Source organism: Homo sapiens, chromosome 6 (assembly GCF_000001405.40).
Source record: "Homo sapiens chromosome 6, GRCh38.p14 Primary Assembly".
NCBI classification, from domain to species: domain Eukaryota; kingdom Metazoa; phylum Chordata; class Mammalia; order Primates; family Hominidae; genus Homo; species Homo sapiens.
Genome location: NC_000006.12, coordinates 111217057 through 111238242, shown reverse-complemented (window position 1 = coordinate 111238242; position 21186 = coordinate 111217057). Strand labels below are relative to the sequence as shown.

General features: G+C 39.6%; 1 protein-coding gene and 1 long non-coding RNA gene across 3 annotated transcripts in view; one reads left to right on the top strand and one right to left on the bottom strand.

Moving 5' to 3' along the window:
- Positions 1-10496, top strand: part of SLC60A2-DT (SLC60A2 divergent transcript) — a 31466-nt gene extending 20970 nt beyond the window's left edge. For both annotated transcript variants that reach the window (XR_001743807.2, XR_001743806.2), the window contains exons 2-3: positions 4160-4244; positions 10320-10496. This is a non-coding gene — a long non-coding RNA (SLC60A2 divergent transcript). The remainder of the gene's footprint in view (positions 1-4159; positions 4245-10319) is intronic.
- SLC16A10 (solute carrier family 16 member 10) overlaps positions 7049-21186 on the bottom strand; it is a 143692-nt gene continuing 129554 nt past the window's right edge. Inside the window, exons 5-6 of the mRNA NM_018593.5 lie at positions 19201-19429; positions 7049-16240 (exon numbers count right to left, since the gene is read on the bottom strand). Coding sequence (NP_061063.2) covers positions 16008-16240; positions 19201-19429 — 462 coding nt within the window. The 3' untranslated portion in view covers positions 7049-16007. The remainder of the gene's footprint in view (positions 16241-19200; positions 19430-21186) is intronic.

The following is a 21186-nucleotide window of genomic DNA, read 5'->3' as shown; positions in this document are numbered from 1 at the left end:
GTAATGATAAAGTATGAGTAATTTTTCTTCTTGTTTAATGTCTCAAGATGAGCTTTTCATTCCTGTAAGATTAGAAGGCACTGTAGGTTTTCCATGAGAGTCCCTTCAGTTCCGTTACGCTAGCATTCTATTTTAGGTTTAAAATTTATACAGGAGCTTCTCTTTAGTGAAGTATCTGTCATCTGAGTCTCTGCTGTTTAATATGGAGGTATACTCAGAGTTGTTACTGTAGTGTCATTGCTTCTAGACCCTCTCTGTGGACAGAGTTAGGAAACACATGCATGACTACACACACACACACACTCACACCACATTTCCCAATTCCAATCCATCACCATAGTGTTTATTCACTTTACACCTTCCACATATGTACCTCCCTACTCCAGTAGTGAGAAACCTAGCTCCCATTTCCTTAATATATGTATTTATTTGTTCAAGCCCCTGTAAATAGACTCAATCTCCCAATTGTGTGGCCTTCTCCTTGGCCCTGGAGCAGCCATGCCAGCCAAGCTCCCCCTGGTTTCAACACTGATACCACGGACTCACTCCAGCTGCACTGGCTGAGTTGCACTGGCTAAGTTTTCAAAGGAAATCCTTAAAAGCACTAAAATAAAGTCAACATGTTCGTCCTGACAAGTTTGGACACCATTCATTTATTCAAAAAATCATCATTGAGCACTTATTCTGTGCCAGGCACTTTTCTGAATGTTGGAGATGAAAAGATAAAACAGACAAAAAGCTCTACCTTTGTGGAACTTGCAGTCTAATTGGGGAGACAATAAAGATAAATAAACTGTGCATGGTGGTTCATACCTGGGATCCCAGCACTTTGGGAGGCCCAGGTGGGAGGATCACTTGAGCCCAGGAGGTCAAGTTCAGCCTGGGCAATAGAGTGAAATTCTGTCTCTACAAAAAATCAAAAAATTAGCCAGGCTTTGTGGTACATGCCTGTGGTCCCAGCTACTCCGGAGGCTGAGGTGGGAGGATCCCTTGAAGCCAGGGGTTTGAGGCTGCAGTGAGCTGTGATCAAGCCACTGCATTTTTGTCTGGGTGACTGAGTGTGACCCTGTCTCAAGGAAAACCCAAAAACAAACAAACAAAATAAATAAATAAGACCAGGCATGGTGGCTCATGTGTGTAATCCCAGTACTTTGGGAAGCCAAGGTGGGAGGATCACTTGAGGCCAGGAGGTCAAGACCAGCCTGGGCAACATAGTAAGACCTCATCTCTATAAAAAATTAAAAATTAAAAAAATTAGCCAGGCATGGCACATACCTGCAGTCCCTGCTTTTCAGGAGGCTGAGGTGGGAGGATCGCTGGATCCCAGGAGATGGAGGTTGCAGTGAGCCACGATTGCACCACTGCACTCCAGCCTGGGCAACAGAGTGAGACCCTGTCTCACAAAAAAAAAAAGAGAAATAAAATAAATGGTATGCTAGTGATAACTGCTAAGAAGAAAAAATTAAGTTGGGAAGGGGGATATGAATTGCCTGGGGAAAGGGATTAAATTTTAGATGACCAGGGGAGGCTTCACAGAGGAGACTTAAAAAAAAATTTTTTTTTTTGGCTGGGCGTGGTGGCTCATGCCTGTAATCCAGCACTTTGGGAGGCCAAGGCAGGCAGATCACCTGAGGTTGGGAGTTTGAGACCAGCCTGACCAACATGGTGAAACTCCGTCTCTACTAAAAATACAAAAATTAGCTGGGCATGGTGGTGTGCACCTGTAGTCCCAGCTACTCAGGAGGCTGAGGCAGGAGAATCGCTTGAATCCGGGAGGCGGAGGTTGCAGTGAGTTGAGATCGTGCCACTGCACTCCAGCCTGGCGACGGAGTGAGACTTCATCTCAAAAAAAAAAAATTTTCAATGGAGTTTTGGGGAACAAGTCGTGTTTGGTTACATGAGTAAGCTCTTTAGTGGTGATTTCTGAGATTTTGGTGCACCCGTCACCCAAGCAGTATAGACTGTTCCCAATGTGTAGTCCTTTATCCCTCACCCCACTCTTATCCTTTCCCCTGAGTCCCCAAAGTCCATTGTCTCATTCTTATGTCTTTGTGTCCTCATAGCTTAGCTCCCACTTATGAGTGAGAACATATGATGTTTGGTTTTCCATTCCTGAGTTACTTCACTTAGAATAATGGTCTCCAATTCCATCCAGGTTGCTGCAAATGCTATTATTTTGTTCCTTTTTATGGCTTAGTATTCCATGGTGTATGTATATATATACCACATTTTCTTTATCAACTTGTTGCTTGATGGCCATTTAGGCTGGTTCCATATTTTGTAGTTGTGCATTGTGCTGCTATAAACATGCGTGCACAAGTATCTTTTTTGTGTAATGACTTCTTTTCCTCTGGGTAGATACCCAGGTGAGGGATTACTGGATCAAATGGTAAATCTTCTTTTAGTTCTTTTTTTTTTTTTTTTTTTGAGACAGAGTCTCGCTCTGTCGCCCAGGCTGGAGTGCAGTGGCGCAATCTCGGCTCACTGCAAGCTCCGCCTCCTGGGTTCACACCATTCTCCTGTCTCAGCCTCCCAAGCAGCTGGGACTACAGGCACCCACCACCACGCCCGGCTAATTTTTTTGTAATTTTAGTAGAGACGGGGTTTCACCATGTTAGCCAGGATGGTCTCGATCTCCTGACCTCGTGATCTGCCCACCTTGGCCTCCCAAAGTGTTGGGATTACAGGCGTGAGCCACCGCACCCGGCCCTTCTTTTAGTTCTTTAAGAAATCTCCGTGCTGTTTTCCACAGGGGTTGTACTAGTTTACATTTCCACCAACAGTGTAAAAGTGTTCCCTTTTCATCACAACCATGCCAGCTCCATTATTTTTTTATTATTATTATGGCCATTCTTGCAGGAGTAAGGTGGTTTCACATCATGGTTTTGATTTGCATTTCTCTGATCATTAGTGATGTTGAGCATTTTTTCATATGTTTGTTGGTCATTTGTATATCTTCTTTTCATATTGTCTATTCATGTCCTTAGCCCACTTTTTGATGGGATTATTTGTTTTTTTCTTGCTGATTTGTTTGAGTTCCTTGTAGATTCTGGCTATTAGTCCTTTGTCAGATGCATAGATTGTGAAGATTTTCTCCCACTCTGTAAGTTGTCTGTTTACTTTGCTGATTGTTTCTTTTGCTGTACAGAAGCTTCTTAGTTTAAGTCCCATCTATTTATCTTTGTTTTTATTGGGTTTGCTTTTGGGTTCTTGGTCATGAAGTCTTTGCCTAAGCCAAGGCAATGGTTTTTCCTATGTTATCTTCTAGAATTTTTATGGCTTCAGGTCTTAGATTTAAGTCTTTGATCCATTTTGAGTTGATTTTTGTATAAGGTGAGAGATCTGAATCCAGTTTCATTCTTCCACATGTGGCTTTCCAAGTATCCCAGCACCATGTGTTGAATAGGGTGTCTTTCCTCACTTTGTTTTTGTTTGCTTTGTCGAAGATCAGTTGACTGTTAAGTATTTGACTTTATTTCTGGGTTCTGTATTCTGTTCCATTGGTCTATATGCCTGTTTTTATACAGGTACCATGCTGTTTTGGTGACACTGGCCTTTTAGTATAGTTTGAAGTCAGGTAATGTAATGCCTGTAATGCCTCTAGATTTTTTTTTTTTTTTTTCTGCTTAGTCTTCCTTTGGCTATGCGGGCTCTTTTTTGGTTCCATATGAATTTTAGGATTGTTTTTTCTAGTTCTGTGAAGAATGATGGTGGTATTTTGATAGGAATTGCATTGAATTTGTAGATTGCTTTTGGCAGAATGGTCATTTTCACAACATTGATTCTACCCATCCATGAGCATGGGATGTGTTTTCATTTGTTTGTGTTGTCTATATTTCTTTCAGCAGTGTTTTGTAGTTTTCCTTGTAGAGGTCTTTCACCTCACAGAGGAGACTTTCTAGTAGACCTGAAGGAGGTAAGGGAGCAATCCAAGAGGATAGCTGGGGGAAGAGCACCCCAGGCAGGGGCAGTGATACAAGGATGGAAGTGGAGAGAGGCCAGAGTGAATCAGCAGAGAGCAGGAGATAAGGTCAGAGATGTATCAGGGACCAGAACATGTGGAGCTGTGCTGGTCATGGTAAGGACTTTGGTTTTCTGTGAGGGATAAAAGGAGCCACAGGAAGCAAAGGGGCTGATTTCGTCTGACTTGTTTTGACAGGATCATGCTGGCTGCTGTGTGGAGAAAAGACCGAGGGGAAGTAAAAGAACAAAGAACAAAAGAGAACATGATGGCTTGGATCAAGGTAGTGCCGGTGGTGATAGTGAGAAATGGAGAAATTCTGGGTATATTTTGGAAGCAGAGCCTATAGGATTTGCTTGCAGAACAGGAGACATTTGGTTGGCAGATATAAGGCTCTGGAGTTCAAGGGGGAGGTTCGGGCTTCATCAGCATTTAGGTAGTAATTCAAGCCATGAGATAGGACAAGATCATCTAGGTAGTGAATATGGATAAAATACAGAAGGGGTTCAAGAACTAGGCTCTGATGTACTCCCAATATTTAGAGGTTAGAAGATGAGCAGGACCCAGTAAAGGAGTGGCTAGAAAGATAGGAGAAAAACCAGGTAAGTGTGGTGTCCTGGAAGCCTGATTCAGAGATAGGAATTGATATATTGTACCAAATAGTGTAGATAATTCAAATAAAATGAGGACTGAAAAATGACTATTGGATTTAGTAATTGTGGAGGTCAGTGGTAACCTAGTGATGAGAAGGGCAGTTTCAGTGGAGTGGTAGAGGCAAAATCCTGATAGAGTGGATTCAAAAGAGAATACGAGATAAAATGGGAGAGAGTAAATACGTATTTTTTCAAGAAAAAAAAGTTGGTTATTTAGTCTTTTGTGAATGGATAGAAAAAAGTGATGCAAGACTGGGCACGGTGGCTCACGCCTGTAACCCCAGCACTTTGGGAGGCTGAGACAGGAAGATTGCTTGAGTCTGGGAGTTCAAGACCAGCCTGAGCAACATGGCGAAACACTGTCTCTATAAAAAATGATAACAAGGCTGGGCGCGGTGGCTCACACCTGTAATCCCAGCACTTTGGGAGGCCGAGGCAGGCGGATCACGAGGCCAGGAGTATGAGACCAGCCTGGCCAACATAGTGAAACCCTGTCTCTACTAAAAATACAAAAATTAGCTGGCTGTGTGTTGGCAGGTGCCTGTGGTCCCAGCTACTCGAGAGGCTGAGGCGGGAGAATCGCTTGAATCCGGGAGGCGGAGGTTGCAGTGAGCCGAGATTGTGCCACTGCACTCCAGCCTGGGCGACAGAGCGAGACTCTGTCTCAAAAACAAAAAAAAGATAACAATAAAAAAATTAAAAAGTCTTTTTTTGTCAAGATGAAATAATAGCATGTATATATGGGAATGCTGGTGGAAATGATCCAATAGAGGGGGAAATTGATAATATGAGAGAGAAGAAATGGTTGGAGAAGCTGGAGGTATTTAATTTGGAAAAGGAAAGGTGTAGGGGCAATAGTAAGTGGAATACTGGGGCGGTGGGGGCGGGGTTGCAGTTTTGTAGATCCTAGGGTTAAGGATTAGGGAGGAAACAAAGTAAAAACTGCAAAGACCTGGGAAGTTTTGATAAGAGGCAGGGGTGTTGGTATTAAGATTTCAAAGATGAAGCCATTTCCAGAGATGACAAGGCTCCAAGTGTCTCTGTTAAATTAGTGGAAATAAAGTTGCTCCACATGAATACTGAGCCTTGGACCAAAAGCCATTTGCTGGCATACAGATGGATATATGAGAATGACTGGGGGGTCCACAGATGACTGTGACACAGACAATAGAAGGTGGTAGAGCTGTATGGGGTAAGAAAGAGAAGCAGAGGGCCCAGCTGTGGAGGGGACCACCATGCAGGGTGGTAAGCTTCCTATCTCTGGAAGAAAACACTGGTGACTCTGATTTAAGGATTTATAAAAAGAACTCCTGAATTTAAAAAGTATTAGATTCACCTATAGGAGACTCAGAACTTTCAGTCCTAAAAGCCTGATACTATGGTAATTGGTATGTCTCTTAAATTAGGTTTTCGGTATGAATTAGAATTCTTCTATTTTTTTCTATAAAAATTATTTTCTGGCCAGGCGTGGTGGCTCATGCCTATAATCCCACACTTTGGGAGGCCAACGTTGGCAGATCACCTGAGGTCAGGAGATCGAGACCAGCCTGGCCAACATGGTGAAACCCCCCCTCTCTACTAAAAATACAGAAATTAGCCGGGTGTGTTGGTGGGTGCCTGTAATCTCAGCTTCTCGGGAAGCTGAGGCAGGAGTATCACTTCAACCCGAGAGGCAGAGGTTGCAGTGAGCCAAGATCGCGCCATTGCACTCCAGCCTGGGTGATAAAAGTGAAACTCCATCTCAGAAAAAACAAAAAAAACCCAAAATTTTCCTCAGGAGAATGAATTTTATCCTGCTTAAGATCAGTAACAATTGGTCATATCTATTCTCTCCTCAGTTCCCTCAAAGGTCTTCTAATGGCCTACACATTCTGACATGTAAATACTTTTTGGATTAAATGACATATCACAAATGCCAAGTTCTTGAGTTTAATGTATTAAATCTCATTAGTACTATTAAACATAAATAATGATTTGCTTTGTAGTTAAGGCTCATCAAATCATAAACATCTTCTGATGGCAGAGTCAGTTTTTATCCAAGCAAGCAATCCACAGTAATGGGACTGCTTTTTTTTTTTACAGCCTGGTTCTTGACTATCCCCTAAAATTGTCAGTCAGTAGAAGCTCACTGAGTATCATCTGAATTTAGTAAGTGTAATCAATGTAAGAAAAATGGCAATGTAAGTCAAGTACAAAAAAAGTAAGCGTCAAATAGAAGTGGTTTTTAGACTATCTAAAGCTTTTGGATCATTTCTATCCCTGTTCCCTGCTCCGGGGAAATAACAGTACCCAAACGCATGTAGAATACAGATATGCAATGTAAAAAGCACACAGCTTATTTCTTTTATTCAACATAAACTATTCCTTTCGTTTCAATAATTTCCCCTCCCCCACCCTCCAGAGAATTCCACAAACATAACCACAAAGCCTTATAGGAATTTGCTAAAAAGTTTTTATTGCATTTACTAAGAGTATCACATTTTTCCACAGTAAAATAATCTTATCCTCCAAGCAATTGTAAAGATCTTTTCATTAAAAAGATTTTGGTTATCTATATTAAATTGCACATTATTAAAAAAATTGTAAATTATAGTCTTCAAAAAGAAGCATACATTTTTTAAAAAGTACTAAAATACTGCATACTGGTCAAATCCAGCATGAGCATTCAGCATAGTGATCTACATTTGAACAACTATTGTGCCAAAAATGGCCCCAGGGTAGGTTGGGAGAGAAGCAGAGCTGCACTGCGGTGTATAGCATACACTTGGAATAATTTGGCTTTGGTGTCTAAGATAAAGTGTGTTTTTCTAACTCAAAATATACAAAATAATTAAAAAATTAATTTTCAAATAAACATTAAAATAAGTCCACATGAACAATGTCATATTATACTAGGAGATACTTAAAATATCCACACTCTCTTTCAGTAATAACTACAGGGTTCAATTTGTTGTAGCTATAACTTTAAGGCTAAAATAAACTGGTGGAAGAACAAAAGCAAAATGCAACTTTTATCAAGCATTGTGCAATGCCTCTACAATCTTACACATCTCAAACCACATTAAGTTACATCAGAAGTTATTATTAGAGTGATGTTTAATCTCACCCTAATGTAACTTCTGATTAGCAAGCTTCCATTCTCTCTGCCAAATATAACTCATGTTAACGTAGAAAAGTGTTATCATTAGTTACCAGAGCAAATCCAGTGTACTGGATTGTGAATGCATAGTCTTTCTAATTAGGAAAATGAGAGTGTGTATTGTCTTCTTAATTTACATTTATAAAATCCTCATAAAATACAGTTAAGTCAGGGTCTTTTAAAAGAGAAGAATTCAACTGAAACCTGTCATTCTCTAGCCGGGCATGGTGGCTCATGCCTGTAATTCCAGCACTTGGGGAGGCTGAGGCAGGTGGATCACTTAAGGCCAGTCTGGCCAACATGGTGAAACTCCATCTCTACCAAAAATACAAAAATTAGCCGGTGTGGTAGTGGGCACCTGTAGTCCCAGCTACTCAGAAGACTGAGGCACGAGAATCACTTGAGCCCGGGAGGCGGAGGTTGCAGTGAGCTGAGATCGCGCCACTATATGGAGCCTGGCAATAGAGCAAGACTCCATCTCAAAAAAAAAAAAAAAAAAGAAACAAAGAAAGAAAAAGAAACCTGTCATTCTCAATTCATCTGAATCCTACCTACAGAACATTAAAGAGACCCGTATGTCTCGAACTCCTGGCCTCAAGCAATCCGCCTGCCTTGGCCTCCCAAAGTGCTGGGATTACAGGTGTGAGCCACGGCGCCTGGCCAAGGAGACCCATATGTTATTTTACTTAGGTGTTACACAATCAGACCAACGATGGTGCTGAGAGCCCTTGATAAATCATAGACCTGAGATTTGCTGACAGTGACCCAGCCGCAGTACTTATTGTTTATGTTAAATCTGAAAGACAAACAATGATACTTTCAGTGATAAATTTCAAATAATTATAAAAATATAACTGTGCAAATAACTCATTATCCATGTTTTAAGATTGATGACTCTCAAAACTCTGATTTTAGCCTGAAAGTTGCGAAATAGTTTCAAATGTCCAAATGTCTACATAAGCCAGCTCAATAGGAAGCTATTATATATAACTTTTTCACATTGCCTCAAAGTTACAGAATATATTTAAATCCCTCACTTTGTGCTAGAAACATTGACAAGGGACTTTTTCTTTAAAATTATTACCTTGGGAGGTTGTGTTCATTAGAACATTCTCATTTGGTGATCATTTTCTTGTGAGTTTCGTAATTTAAAGTCTTATATGTTAACAAAAATTGCATACCTCTAACTAGATACTGGAACTCAATAATCACTGTATAGGTGAGCTTTTTTCCTCAGTCATGTATATAACATGCAACATGCATAACGTTGCTGGCTGTATACATTTTCTATTGTGTTGTATATTAATATTTTTAAAAGAAAAATAATTTTGAAAGGAACATGAAGTATAGCACCAATCTTGATCTAATAATCTTTGGTAGAAAAAAAAGAGGCACCAACTATACAGTCTGTTCATAGTCCAGGGTCAAAATGCAGCACTATTTTTTTTTTTTTTTTTTTTGAGACAGAGTTTTGCTCTTGTTGCCCAGGCTGGAGTGCTATGGTGCAATCTTGGCTCACTGCAACCTCCACCTCCTGGGTTCAAGCAATTCTCCTGCCTCAGCCTCCCGAGTAGCTGGGATTACAGCATGGAGCCACCACGCCCGGCTAATTTTGTATTTTTGGTAGAGATGGGGTTTCTCCATGTTGGTCAGGCTGGTCTCCAACATCTGACCTCAGGTGATTCGCCTGTCTCGGCCTCCCAAAGTGCTGGGATTACAGGCATGAGTCACCGTGCCCGGCCCAGCACTATTAATAACAAACCCTCCATTCCTGAAATAACATTTCAATATAGACTGAATTATGAAAGATACTTTGACTCATTAGGGAAGATCACAGTAGAAAGGTTTTGTGTTTACACATTTAAAATATTTAACAAACTGACTCTTCTAATGACGGATACTGAAAAATATCTAGTAAAGAATAAAAGTCATACATCACAGGCTCCAAAATAGTATTACCAATCTAATTTGAGTTCTAAGTGTTATTTTATATTGGTAGTTCCTATCGCATACATGTTTAGGGACATTGAACTCCAAAATACTCTTTTTATAGCACTCATATTGAAAGGCAAAGCAACTTCTTTGGGTAGACTGGGTTAACTCCTACACTATTGCCACACTCAAGAACAGCATTTTAAAAAACTCCAGTGAGTCAAAAATTCATTGTCCCAGTCCTTGTTCTACTAGGAAGGAGTGTCTCTTACAGGAGTTTAATGTGTAAGTTGTCAGGTTTGGGCACAGCTGTACAATCTGTCATCACTGATCATCTACCCTCTTGCCAATGAAAACAAAACTTTTTCATAATCAAGCTTCCAGTGTAACTTGAAAAGCCACTGGCGAAGCATTCTAAGTGTTCATTAGAATCTGAGTGTGTCTAATTTAGAATCTAAGTGTATCTAGATTCTGAATTTCTTCAGGTTTTTCTTTGTCAGATCCACAGGCCATATTAGTTGTTATTCCTTTTTTGTTACTTTTACATCCGTTTATCAGAACAAAGCACTTAAGAAATTTTACTGATATTTTGACCCCACTAACAATTTGCACCCCCCTTGCTTTTTAATCCCAGAATCACCATTAGCTCCCTTCTGATGAAGCAGGAGTTGACTCAGCTGGGCTTTCAGCTGGACACGGAAAGCGGAGGTAGATGAATTGTCATGATCAAGTGGGTGTCATCAAGTACTTAGAAAGGTTTCATTTTGTTCCTACTGTCTTTCCAACTTACTAATAAAAATATTGAAATCTATTTCAAAAATGAGGTAGCCTCATGTTATTTTATATCTGTCAGGAATATAGTACCATGGGGAATTTTATTTCCCCAGAAAGCAAGATTACACCCCTTTAGTATGGAACACTGAACTTTAAAAGAGGTGTCCTTGAACGTGTGGAAGTGAAGACAAAGTTTACGATTTAAAATTTGATAATTTTAAAAAAGGCAAGCTAAGTAAACTACGTCCTGAGTTTCAAGATTTTTCTGAGTGATTCAAAGATGTCATGAATTTTCCAGGAGTCTTTACTGTCTCAGGAGGAGTCATCTGATAAAATGCACATTGATGGTGGGTCCATAATTGTGGTTCCGACACTTATGCAAGCTTCACACTTAACTGCGAGCATTCGGCTTTGTTCTTGAGAATCGTGACCTATTGTTCTATAGTATATTTATAACACAAAGCATTAATCTCTGCCAACTAATAATAAACAGGTCGTGGCTATGAAATTATAGTGAGCCCAGGGCCTGCTTGTCTACCTTGTTATTATTTGCTCCAGAACCATTCTTAAATTCAGCTCTAGACAGTCTTTTTAGACCAAGCTATCAACAAAAGTCAGCATGTATAGTAGAGCAGAACAAATTTTTTTTTCCTTTTTGTAGACAAGGTCTCATTTTGTCACCCAGGCTGGAGTGCAGTGGTGCAACCACAGCTCACTGCAGACTTGACCTGCTATGCTCAAGCAATCCTCTTGCCTCAGCCTCCTGAGTAGCTGGGACTACAGGCATGTGCCACCAAGCTGGCTAAATTTTTTTTGTAGAGACGAAATCTCACTATGTTGCCCAGGCTGAGTCTTGAACCCTGGGCTCTGGTGATCCTACCGCCTTGGACTCCCAAAGTGCTGGGATTACAGGCGTGAGCCGCCACACATGGCCTTAGAACTAATGATTAAGTCAGTAAAGTAGCAAGTCTTCCTTCTACGATGTATTCTTATTCCACATTACCATTATGAATGACAAATTGCGTTTTGTTTTCATAACAAGACAAAAAGCTGGTCTTTTTAAGAGTTAATTAAATTGTTATGGATGATGCATTTCTTATTCACCAAGATACTACTTGCCTTTCAAATTATAAAAACATATAGATGTAAAAAGAAGGTAATAGTTTTATTTCCTTCTATTTTTAAGACAACACACTGGAAAAGCAACAATCTTTGACCTAATGTAAAAGTTGCTCCTTAATGTTTATACCAGCAACAATGACCTTTTTTTCAGTGTTAGAGACTTCCTAAAAAGTTTTAAATACTTGTTTAAATTGTTTACATATTATAAAATTGGAGCTAATTAGCTTATGCATTTCTACTTGTATCTCTAAACTCTGGGAATTTACTCTAACACCATTCACCAGAAAATGTAACCTAACCTAAGGAAGGTCCCTGAAGAACAATCATTAGGAACTGCATCAGAGAGGCACACTACATTCCCAGTCACCCTTCATGCTGGGCTCTCGGAACTAAGATTTAATGAAACCTTAGTGAAACTGGAAATCAAAGTAAAAAATTACGCTCTCTGAAAATATGCTAAAGACTTGGCAATGGTTTTTTTTTTCCCCAAAGCATTTACCTTAAAAATTTAAATACAGTTTTAAATGTTAGCATAAAAGATACTAATTTGTATGAAATTTATTTCTTCCCTTAAATATTTCAGTCATGTAATTTAAATTCAATGTAGATCATTAGAACTAAGTCGAAGGCTGAGAGAAAGCCATTCACCAGGATACACGAAATTGGGTGGGGATCCATTCAGTGAAACTACAGGGATCAGTAGGAAATACAGCCATGCAACCAGTGGAACTAAGCATGGATGTTAATGGACTCTTCAGGAGGTTTTTGAAGGATAGGAGGAAGTAAAGGGAAATGAAAAAATGATGAGGATAAGAATAATGTAAGAAGAGTAAGACAAAAGGTACATAAGAAAGGGCATGAAAGTGCACCAGCAGGAACTCCTCAGAGCCACCCATGCTATAGGTTGCCTTCCCCCTCCCCGATCTCGTGTCATATTTTCTATTCAGTTTTCCATTGATTTAACATCAAAAGTCATCTGGACATAGGCCAATTTCAAGTAACATTCGTATAAATTAAAATATTCTTAAATGCAGCTAAAAGGATTAGAATTATCCGAAGTAAACATGTTTACTTTTAAACTGTGTGTACTTTTACTTTTTTTTTTTTTTTTTGAGATGGAGTCTCGCTCTGTCGCCCAGGCTGGAGTGCAGTGGCGCAATCTCGCCTCACTGCAACCTCTGCCTCCTGGATTCTTCTCCTGCCTCAGCTTCCCGAGTAGCTGGGACTACAGGTGCATGCCGACACGCCTGGCTAATTTTTTTGTATTTTAGTAGAGATGGAGCTTCACCGTGTTTCCCAGGCTGGTTGCGAACTCCTGAGCTCAGGCAATCCGCCTGCCTCAGCCTCCCAAAGTGCTGGGATTACAAGCGTGAGCCACTGCGCCCAGCCAGAATTTGAATCTTAATACAAGAACTATGCAATTTTCAGTGGAAATTTTAAGTCTTGTAGCAGGGCTATGGAGTAAGCATTGTAAATATGATCAAAGAGATGAACACATCTTGCATAAAGTATCAATAATCTGGGTGGTATATTACTGCTTAAATGGATGGATCCCAGCAATATCCATTGCAATAAAATTTAACCAAAATGTTTCTGGAAGTTTCTTGGCCATCTGTTACAATAGTATCCAATCTAGAGTATCTATAAAAAGGAATGTTACTCCCTTTCATGCTTTTTTTGGCCTCAAATGCCAGAACCTTTCGAATTTGAGAATTTTCTGAGTCTTATCAAAAACAGGATGAGGAGATAAAAACAGAGTTCTGACTCTGTATTCTTTTCAGACTCTCAGAAAAGTGTCTGGATTGAACACAAAAAATTTAGGCTTATCAGGTCACTTTATTGCAGCAGTAACACTTCATTCAGAAATTAGAAAGGATTTAGTTTGACTAGATTAAAGCACAAATTTTTATATTAGTATTTTTCATTTTCTTTGTGCATTTTAAACTTTTAGAACTTTTCCCACAAAAAACATAGTACTAAATATGCATTTATGGAATTTAGCATCTTACGTTTATACTTTTTCTTCTTAATTTTATATTATTATAGCAGAGTATTCTCCGTATGAGTCTATTACAATAGAACTTTTTCAGTGTTATAGATCCAGTTTGATTCATTCCATTAAACTGAAAACTACATATGTGAAGTTTAATATACAAACACATATGCTGAGATCTAAGTTATATATACTTGTCACTGCTGTTTTAATATGGAAACTAACCAAGCAATTTCTTTTAGTTTCAGATGATCACTTTTTTCCTAAAATCAGCCAAATTTTGAAAAGAAAAACACTGTAGAGGTCTTTACAGAGTAAAGTTTTCATTTTTAAATTACTTTCTGTAAAATTGGGGAGAAGGTGTTTTGAGGGGAGTCTGTGCTAAAACTTAAAACAAAATTTAACATTTATTTTTTGTTTTTGATTTTCTTTTACAGACAGGGTTCTGCTCAGTTGAACAGGCTAGAGTACAGTGGCATAGCTCACTGCAGCCTCCATCTCAAGGCTCAAGCAATCCTTCCACTACCTCAGCCTCTGAGTAGCTGGGGCTACAGGTGGGCACCATCATGCCTGGCTAATTTTTAAATTTTTTGTAGACACAGGGTCTCATTATGTTACCCAAGCTGGTCTTGAACTTCTGGGCTCAAGTGATCCCCCTGCCTTGGACTACCAAAGTGCTAGGATTACAGGCATGAGCCACTATGCTTGGCCTAATTTTTTTTTTTATTTTTAGTAGAGACAGGATCTTGCTATGTTGCCCAGGCTGGTCTCAAACTCCTGGGCTCAAGCAATCTTCCCTCCTCAGCCTCCCAAAGTGCTGGGATTATAGGCGCAAGCCACCTTACCCAGCCAAAATTAACATTTATAATAGTGGGTTTGATGATTGGTCTTAGTAGTATGTTTTGTTGAACTTCTCAAAAATGAGAAAGTAACGTTTTATATAACTGGACATGACTGAATGAAATCATTTTCTAAAAGCTTATAATAAGGACATGAAAGGGTAGTATGGTCAAAATGTAGATTTTTTTTCCTGCAAAAGAACCATCCACAGGCAAATTATCTAAGTCCCCTGAATATGAAATATGACACTATTAGAAGTGGTAAGGTGCAACTGCATGTATGACAAAGTAAGTTGCTGAATGTCTTCACAATCAAAAGCACTAACTTTTAAAGGCCTCAAGTACTAAAGCATAATTTTAGGGATAGAGGAAAGTGTTCTTGTTTTTGTAAATGAGTATGGGTCATGGCATGACTTTGGTTTTATTTTGGGTCCTCAAACTGAGAGCTTTCTTATGATAATCTGTATATAAATAGCAAAAAAAAACAATGGGAATGTTCATAGGATAAATAATATGAGTGCAAATTTTTGCCAGAAAGTTCTGGAAATGTAGGACTTGGTTCTTTTTATAAGTGCTTTTAACCTTTTCAGACTCATTAATTTCATAAACCAATTTAAGCAATTATTTCTATCAGCTACAGATATTTTCTTCACAAATATAAAGGGTTTTGCTCCCCTCCCCATCCTCCAGCCTCCACCAATTTGTGCCTGTAACTGCCACTTGATAGCTGCTCAGTAAGACTTTAAATATCAGGTTCTAGTGCCAACAAATCCAGAAGTCAGAAAAATTCTAAGTTACAATCGCCAGAATATCTTTCATGCATTCTATTTTACTTTATTGTTACAGTTTAAACAAATTCAGAAACGTGGGGTGTTTCTGGCTACTTGAGTAAAACGCACTGCAAACGCAAAGGGAACAACGCTGTAAACTTAAATGATTTCTGAACAGCTCAGGATCCTCCTGGAGGGGATCCTTTTCATCTCACATATTGATTCTGAACACTATGTTAGCACCTGCTCCCAGAAGGTCCCTTGACACTGGAGCAAGTCAGAATATCTTAATATCATAGCTTATTTAACAGCAGGAAAGCAACTTTAACATAGACTTGAGGTTTAGGTAGATCTGGTATTATCTAGAACCCAGGCTTAAATTTTGCAAAAAGTTTCCAAAGAGCATAAGAAAGTAAAACAGAGGTACCAGAACTGAAGACATCATTAACAAACAAAATATTTCCACTCCTAACCAAACTGCAACCCTTTCAGTATAGCCTGAGGTATTTTTAAACATTTGTACAAGCTAAAGATCATTCACAGTTTCCAAAGCTGCTTTTTACTGAGATAGCTTCAAATTTTCACAATATGTGACTTTCAGACGTTTTCATATACCAGAGTCTCTGCCCTCAGACTCATGGAAACATCAGAGATATTTAGTGGCAGAAAATGGTTCTTCTAGTGATAAGGGTTCTATTTCCCAATTATTGTGCTATTCCTAGGATGTGATTAAAAAAATATGAAATTTGCAATTTGTATAAAAGGAAAGGAAACTTGCTTAAAATTCAAAAAGCAAGTCCAGTCTGGTGGAGGTATGTAAGATATTAAATAATAGAGTCAGATTCTTTCTTGAACATTCCAGATGAACTTGACAGCAGAGAGTTCTGGTTTTCCAACATTTTCTCCATCTTTTCTTTTCCAGTGGTTTTACTGATCTCTCTTTGCTTCTTACTATGGATCCACGGGATAAAACAAAGCACAGCACCTCCAATAAGGGGAGGGACTCCAGCGAGGTAGAATGCCACATCATAGGAGCCCAGTTTGTCACGAAGTAACCCTGAGAAGGGAAAAAGCTGTCACCAAGGGAGAACAAGTGTGGCTCTGTAGGGGGTCTAGATCAGCCACAGGACTGATTCAGACATCTCAGACATCAGACTTTTTTTTTTTTTTAGGAAACAGATCTGAAATATAAACCCTTTTTGATAGGAAGAAAAAGATCTCATATCTTTAACGTTGTCATAAAGTACAGTCCTCTGGATTTTCATACCAAGACATTACTTGAAAAGATAGAAAGGTAGACGTTTTTTTTTTTTTGAGACAGGGTCTCACTGTGTCACCCAGGCTGGAGTGCGGTAGCATAATCATGGCTCATGCAGGCCTTGACTTCCCAAGCTCAATTGATCCTCCCAGCTCAGCCTCTTGAGTAGCTGGGACTACAGGTGCATGCTACCATGCCTGGCTAATTTTTATATTTTTTGTAGAGATGGGGTTTTGTCACATTACCCAGGCTGGTCTCAAGCTCCTAGGCTAAAGCAATCCTCCCACCTCAGCCTCCCAAAATGCTGAGATTACAGGCATGAGCCACCATGCCCAGCTTTCAAACTACTCTTTGGTGTATTTGTTTTTTATGAAATAACATGAAAACTATTTAACATCATAATTCAAAATTAAGAAAAATTTTAAATTTAATAATTTGGATGAAAGTTAGGTTGTTAAATACATTTTGGAAATAGACTAAGGTTTATAAGTACCTGGAAGAAAATGTAAGTATATAAGAATTATTAATGGCATTCTATATTCGGGTTCTGCTTCTGAAAACTTTTACGGTACTCAACATTTCTAATTTCTCTAACAAATTCCAGGACTCATGGTTTTAAAAGTTATCTTAGTGTTTTTAAACTCTTATAACTTATACTATAAAACCTAAGTTATCTAAAATGTCCAGGGAATATACTGTACTAAATATCTATCTGACATTGTTAAATAAATAGCTGACCATTTGTCCAATTAAGTACCAACACATAAAAATGTGTACATCCATTCTGCATATATAAAATAGACAATATCTGTAAATGCACAAGTTTTCTATCTTTGGAATCAGACCATTCCTGAACTCTTCCTCCTTATGAACACTCATGATTATGTTCTGCTGTAATACTATGATGCCCTCAGAGCCTCCTGGTGAGCCAGCAGCTTTCTGCTGCCAGTTGCTGTGTGGTGGTGTTCTGCCTGCTTTAGAAGTTTCCTGTTACCTCCCTTATTCTTGCTCTGTTAACTGTCACTTCTGGTAGCAAAACTATTTACTACTAGAGTGCTGCTTATATAAAATCTGCTGTGGACTTAGAAACTATAAAACTAAGCTTGTAGGCTATAGAAAGAAGAGTGAATACTATATTACCTGCGGGAGAGAAGAAGGAATGGAGGGTTCTCCTATAAGGAGACCATGACCTTTTGAACTTAAACTGGATTTGGTCTGCTCAGTAGTAACTCTGCTTGCTTGATTCATGACTAGGAATACAGTTCAGGGTATGAGAATGAATTGAGCTAAACCTTCACTGAGCACCTCATGTGCCAAACACAGATGACAGTACACACATTTAAATTTTATCATATTTATACTGAATCTTCTAATACTAATTGACACAGGCACCCAAGTAATACTGAACATAGGACATCTTTATAATATCATTCAGAGAATTTCTAGAGGTGGAATTCACATGAAATAGAATTAACCATTTGAAAGTGAACAATTCAGTGGCATTTAGCACATACACAATGTTTTGCACCCACTGCTTCTATTTAGTTCCAAAATATTTTCATCATGCCAAAAGGACACTTCATTCCAATTAAGTAGTTACTTCCCAATCCCTTTCTCTCCAGCCCCTGGCAGTCACCAGTTTTCTATCTGTATGAATTTACCTATTTTGGATATTTCACATGAAATAAATCATACGATATATGACCTTTTATTTTGAGACAGGGTCTCACTCTGTCACCCAGGCTGGAGTGCAGTGGTGCTATCACGGCTCTGCAGCCTTGATCTCCCAGGCGCAATAGATCCTCTCGCCTCCGCCTCTGGAGTAGGTGGGACTACACTAATATTAGTATGTGTCACCATGCCAGGCTAATTTTTTTTATTTTTAGTAGAGACAAGGTCTTGCTATGTTACCCAAGCTAGTCTGGAACTCCTGAGCTCAAATGATTCTCCTGCCTTGGCCTCTCAAAGTGCTGGGATTACAGGTGTGAGCCACCATGCCCAGCCACGTCACCTTTTATGTTTGGCTTCTTTCACTTAGCATAATGTTCTTGAGGTCCATTCACCTGGTAGCATCAGTTCTGTACCTTACTCCTTTTTATGGCTGAATAATATTGCACTGTAGATATTCCACATTTTGCTTACCCAGTTAGGTATTTACAGGCATTTGGGTTTTTTCTATCATGTTATTTTTCATCAACTACTCCTCAGGGGGATGTATGATCTCTTACCAAAAGCCGACATATTTAGAAATCTTTCAGAATCTTCAACTTTTTTTTTTTTTAAAGATAGGGTTTCGCCTAGGCTGGGGTACAGTGGTATGATCACAGCTCACTGCAGCCTTGACCTCTGGGCTCAAGCAATCCCCCCACCTCAGCCTCCTGTGCATCTGGGACTGCAGATGCATGCCACCACGCCTGGCTAATTTTTTTATTTTTTATTTTTTGTAGAGATAGTGTCTCACTATGTTGTCCAGGCTGGTCTCAAGCTCCTGAGCTCAGGTGATCTTCCCGCCTCAGCCTCCCAAAGTGTTTTATATAGTGTTTTAGCTGCCAGTAAGGATAAGAGGGACTCTTCAGCAAATTCAACATACTGTTTAATAGCTAGTCTTATTAAAAATGTTACCAGTAAGGCACACATAAAAGCAAAAGACCAGTAATCAATAACCTGTAATATGTTTTACATATAAATGAGACTTAATTAAGACCTGAAGTAGAAAATACTATGAATTAATATAACTACTGGAGAATCATTATATTTACCTGCAATGGGTGGGCCAACAGTCATGGGTATAGACATGAATCCGAGCAGAAATCCAATTGCTTGGGAGACATCCTGGGCACCAACTAACTCAAAGGCTATGGGAGCCATAATGGAAATGAAGCATCCATCGAAGAGACCCATGATGAGGCACACAGCAATGAGGGCCCCAAAGATGCTACACAGAGGAATCATCATGGACATCAGACCAATGAAGAAAAAGGAGAGTACCTAGGACGGACACCACAAGGTCAGCTCCGCTCGCAGGAAGCAAATGTCACAATTACCATGCAACATGCTTAGGACTTCTAAGTCATTACTGGTTCCCCCTTTCCCCCCTGCCACTGCCTCATTCACTTTGATTTTACATACATAATCAACTCCTATAATCATCTCCTTCGAGTTCCCCTAGACATTTTCTCAATATTTCCATTAAGGGACAAGATTAAAAAAACGTATTGTTTTTGAGCTGGAGTCTGTCTCTGTTGCCCAGGCTGGAGTGCAGTGGTGTGATCTCAGCTCATTACAACCTCCGCTTCCCAGGTTCAAGCAATTCTTCTGCCTAAGCCTCCTGAGTAGCTGGGACTACAGGCAAGCACCACAAAGTCCAGCTAATTTTTGTATTTTTAGTAGAGATGGGGCTTCCCCATGTTGGGCAGGCTGGTCTTGAACTCCTGACCTCAAGTGATCCACCTGCCCGGCCTCCCAAAGTGCTGGGATTACAGGCATGAGCCACAGCGCCTGGCCGAAAATGACTTTTTATATATTTAATTTCCCTCCCAGCCTGCAAATCCCTTGAAGTCAGAATCTGTACCAAAAAAAAAATTCATCTTTGGACTAGATATTATGAAGTTTAAGGATCCTGTATCTGGTCAGTGCTCAATCAGCTCAAATTCATTAAACACTTGATTTTTTTTTAACCTTTAAAACTATGTATACTTCACTGGCAGAGATTATAGATAAATTTAAGCACCCCAGAGTTAAGGCTTATTATATTATTTTGAGCCATTGAACACTTTCAGTTCAGTGTTAGAGTAGTTAATAGAATTGAACACCTGATTTTGCCTACTATTTGGTAGGCACTGTGCTATGTGCTAGAGGTTTCAACAATGAATAAGATTTCGTTCCTACCCTTGGGTTATGGAAAGATGGACATTTAAATAAATAAGTGCAAGTGAAGTGTTTATATGCTGCCGTAGTTATATATTCAAAGTATGATGGGTACAAAAAAGGAGGAAACAGTCAATTTAATAACTTTTTTAAGGCACAGAACCTGTTAAAACTGAACCATTCATGGCCGGGCACGGTGGCTCATGCCTGTAACCCCAGCACTTTGGGAGGCCGAGGTGGGCAGATCATGAGGTCGGGAGATCGAGACCATCCTGGCTAACAAGGTGAAACCCCGTCTTTACTAAAAATACAAAAAAATTAGCCGGGCGTGGTGGCCGGCGCCTGTAATCCCAGCTACTCGGGAGGCTAAGGCAGGAGAATGGCGTGAATCCGGGGGGTGGAGCTTGCAGTGAGCCGAGATCATGCCACTGCACTCCAGCCTGGGCGACAGAGCGAGACTCCGTCTCAAACAACAACAACAACAACAACAACAACAAAAACTGAACAATTCACTAGTCAGCAGAAAAAATTTTTAAAAGCATCAAGTTTTTTAAAAGTATGCATATAATAGCAACTATCATTTATTTAGTGTTTACCAAGTGCCAAGCATTGTTGTAAGCACTTTAGATTGATTATCTCACTGGTGATCCTCATAACAACTTTATGAGGTGGTACTAATGTTATCTCCATTTTGCTGATGAAGATAGTGACGCTGGGAGAGGTTAATGTGCCCAAAGCACAGAAGATGGAGCCGTCCTGGAACCATGGCCCACGGGGGCAGCAGCAGGCTGTGAACAGAACTGTGCCTGGAGGGTGCCCTCCAATAGCAGTCAGGCTAGGGAGGAAGGAGAGACCAGATAAAGCAGCTGTATGCATCA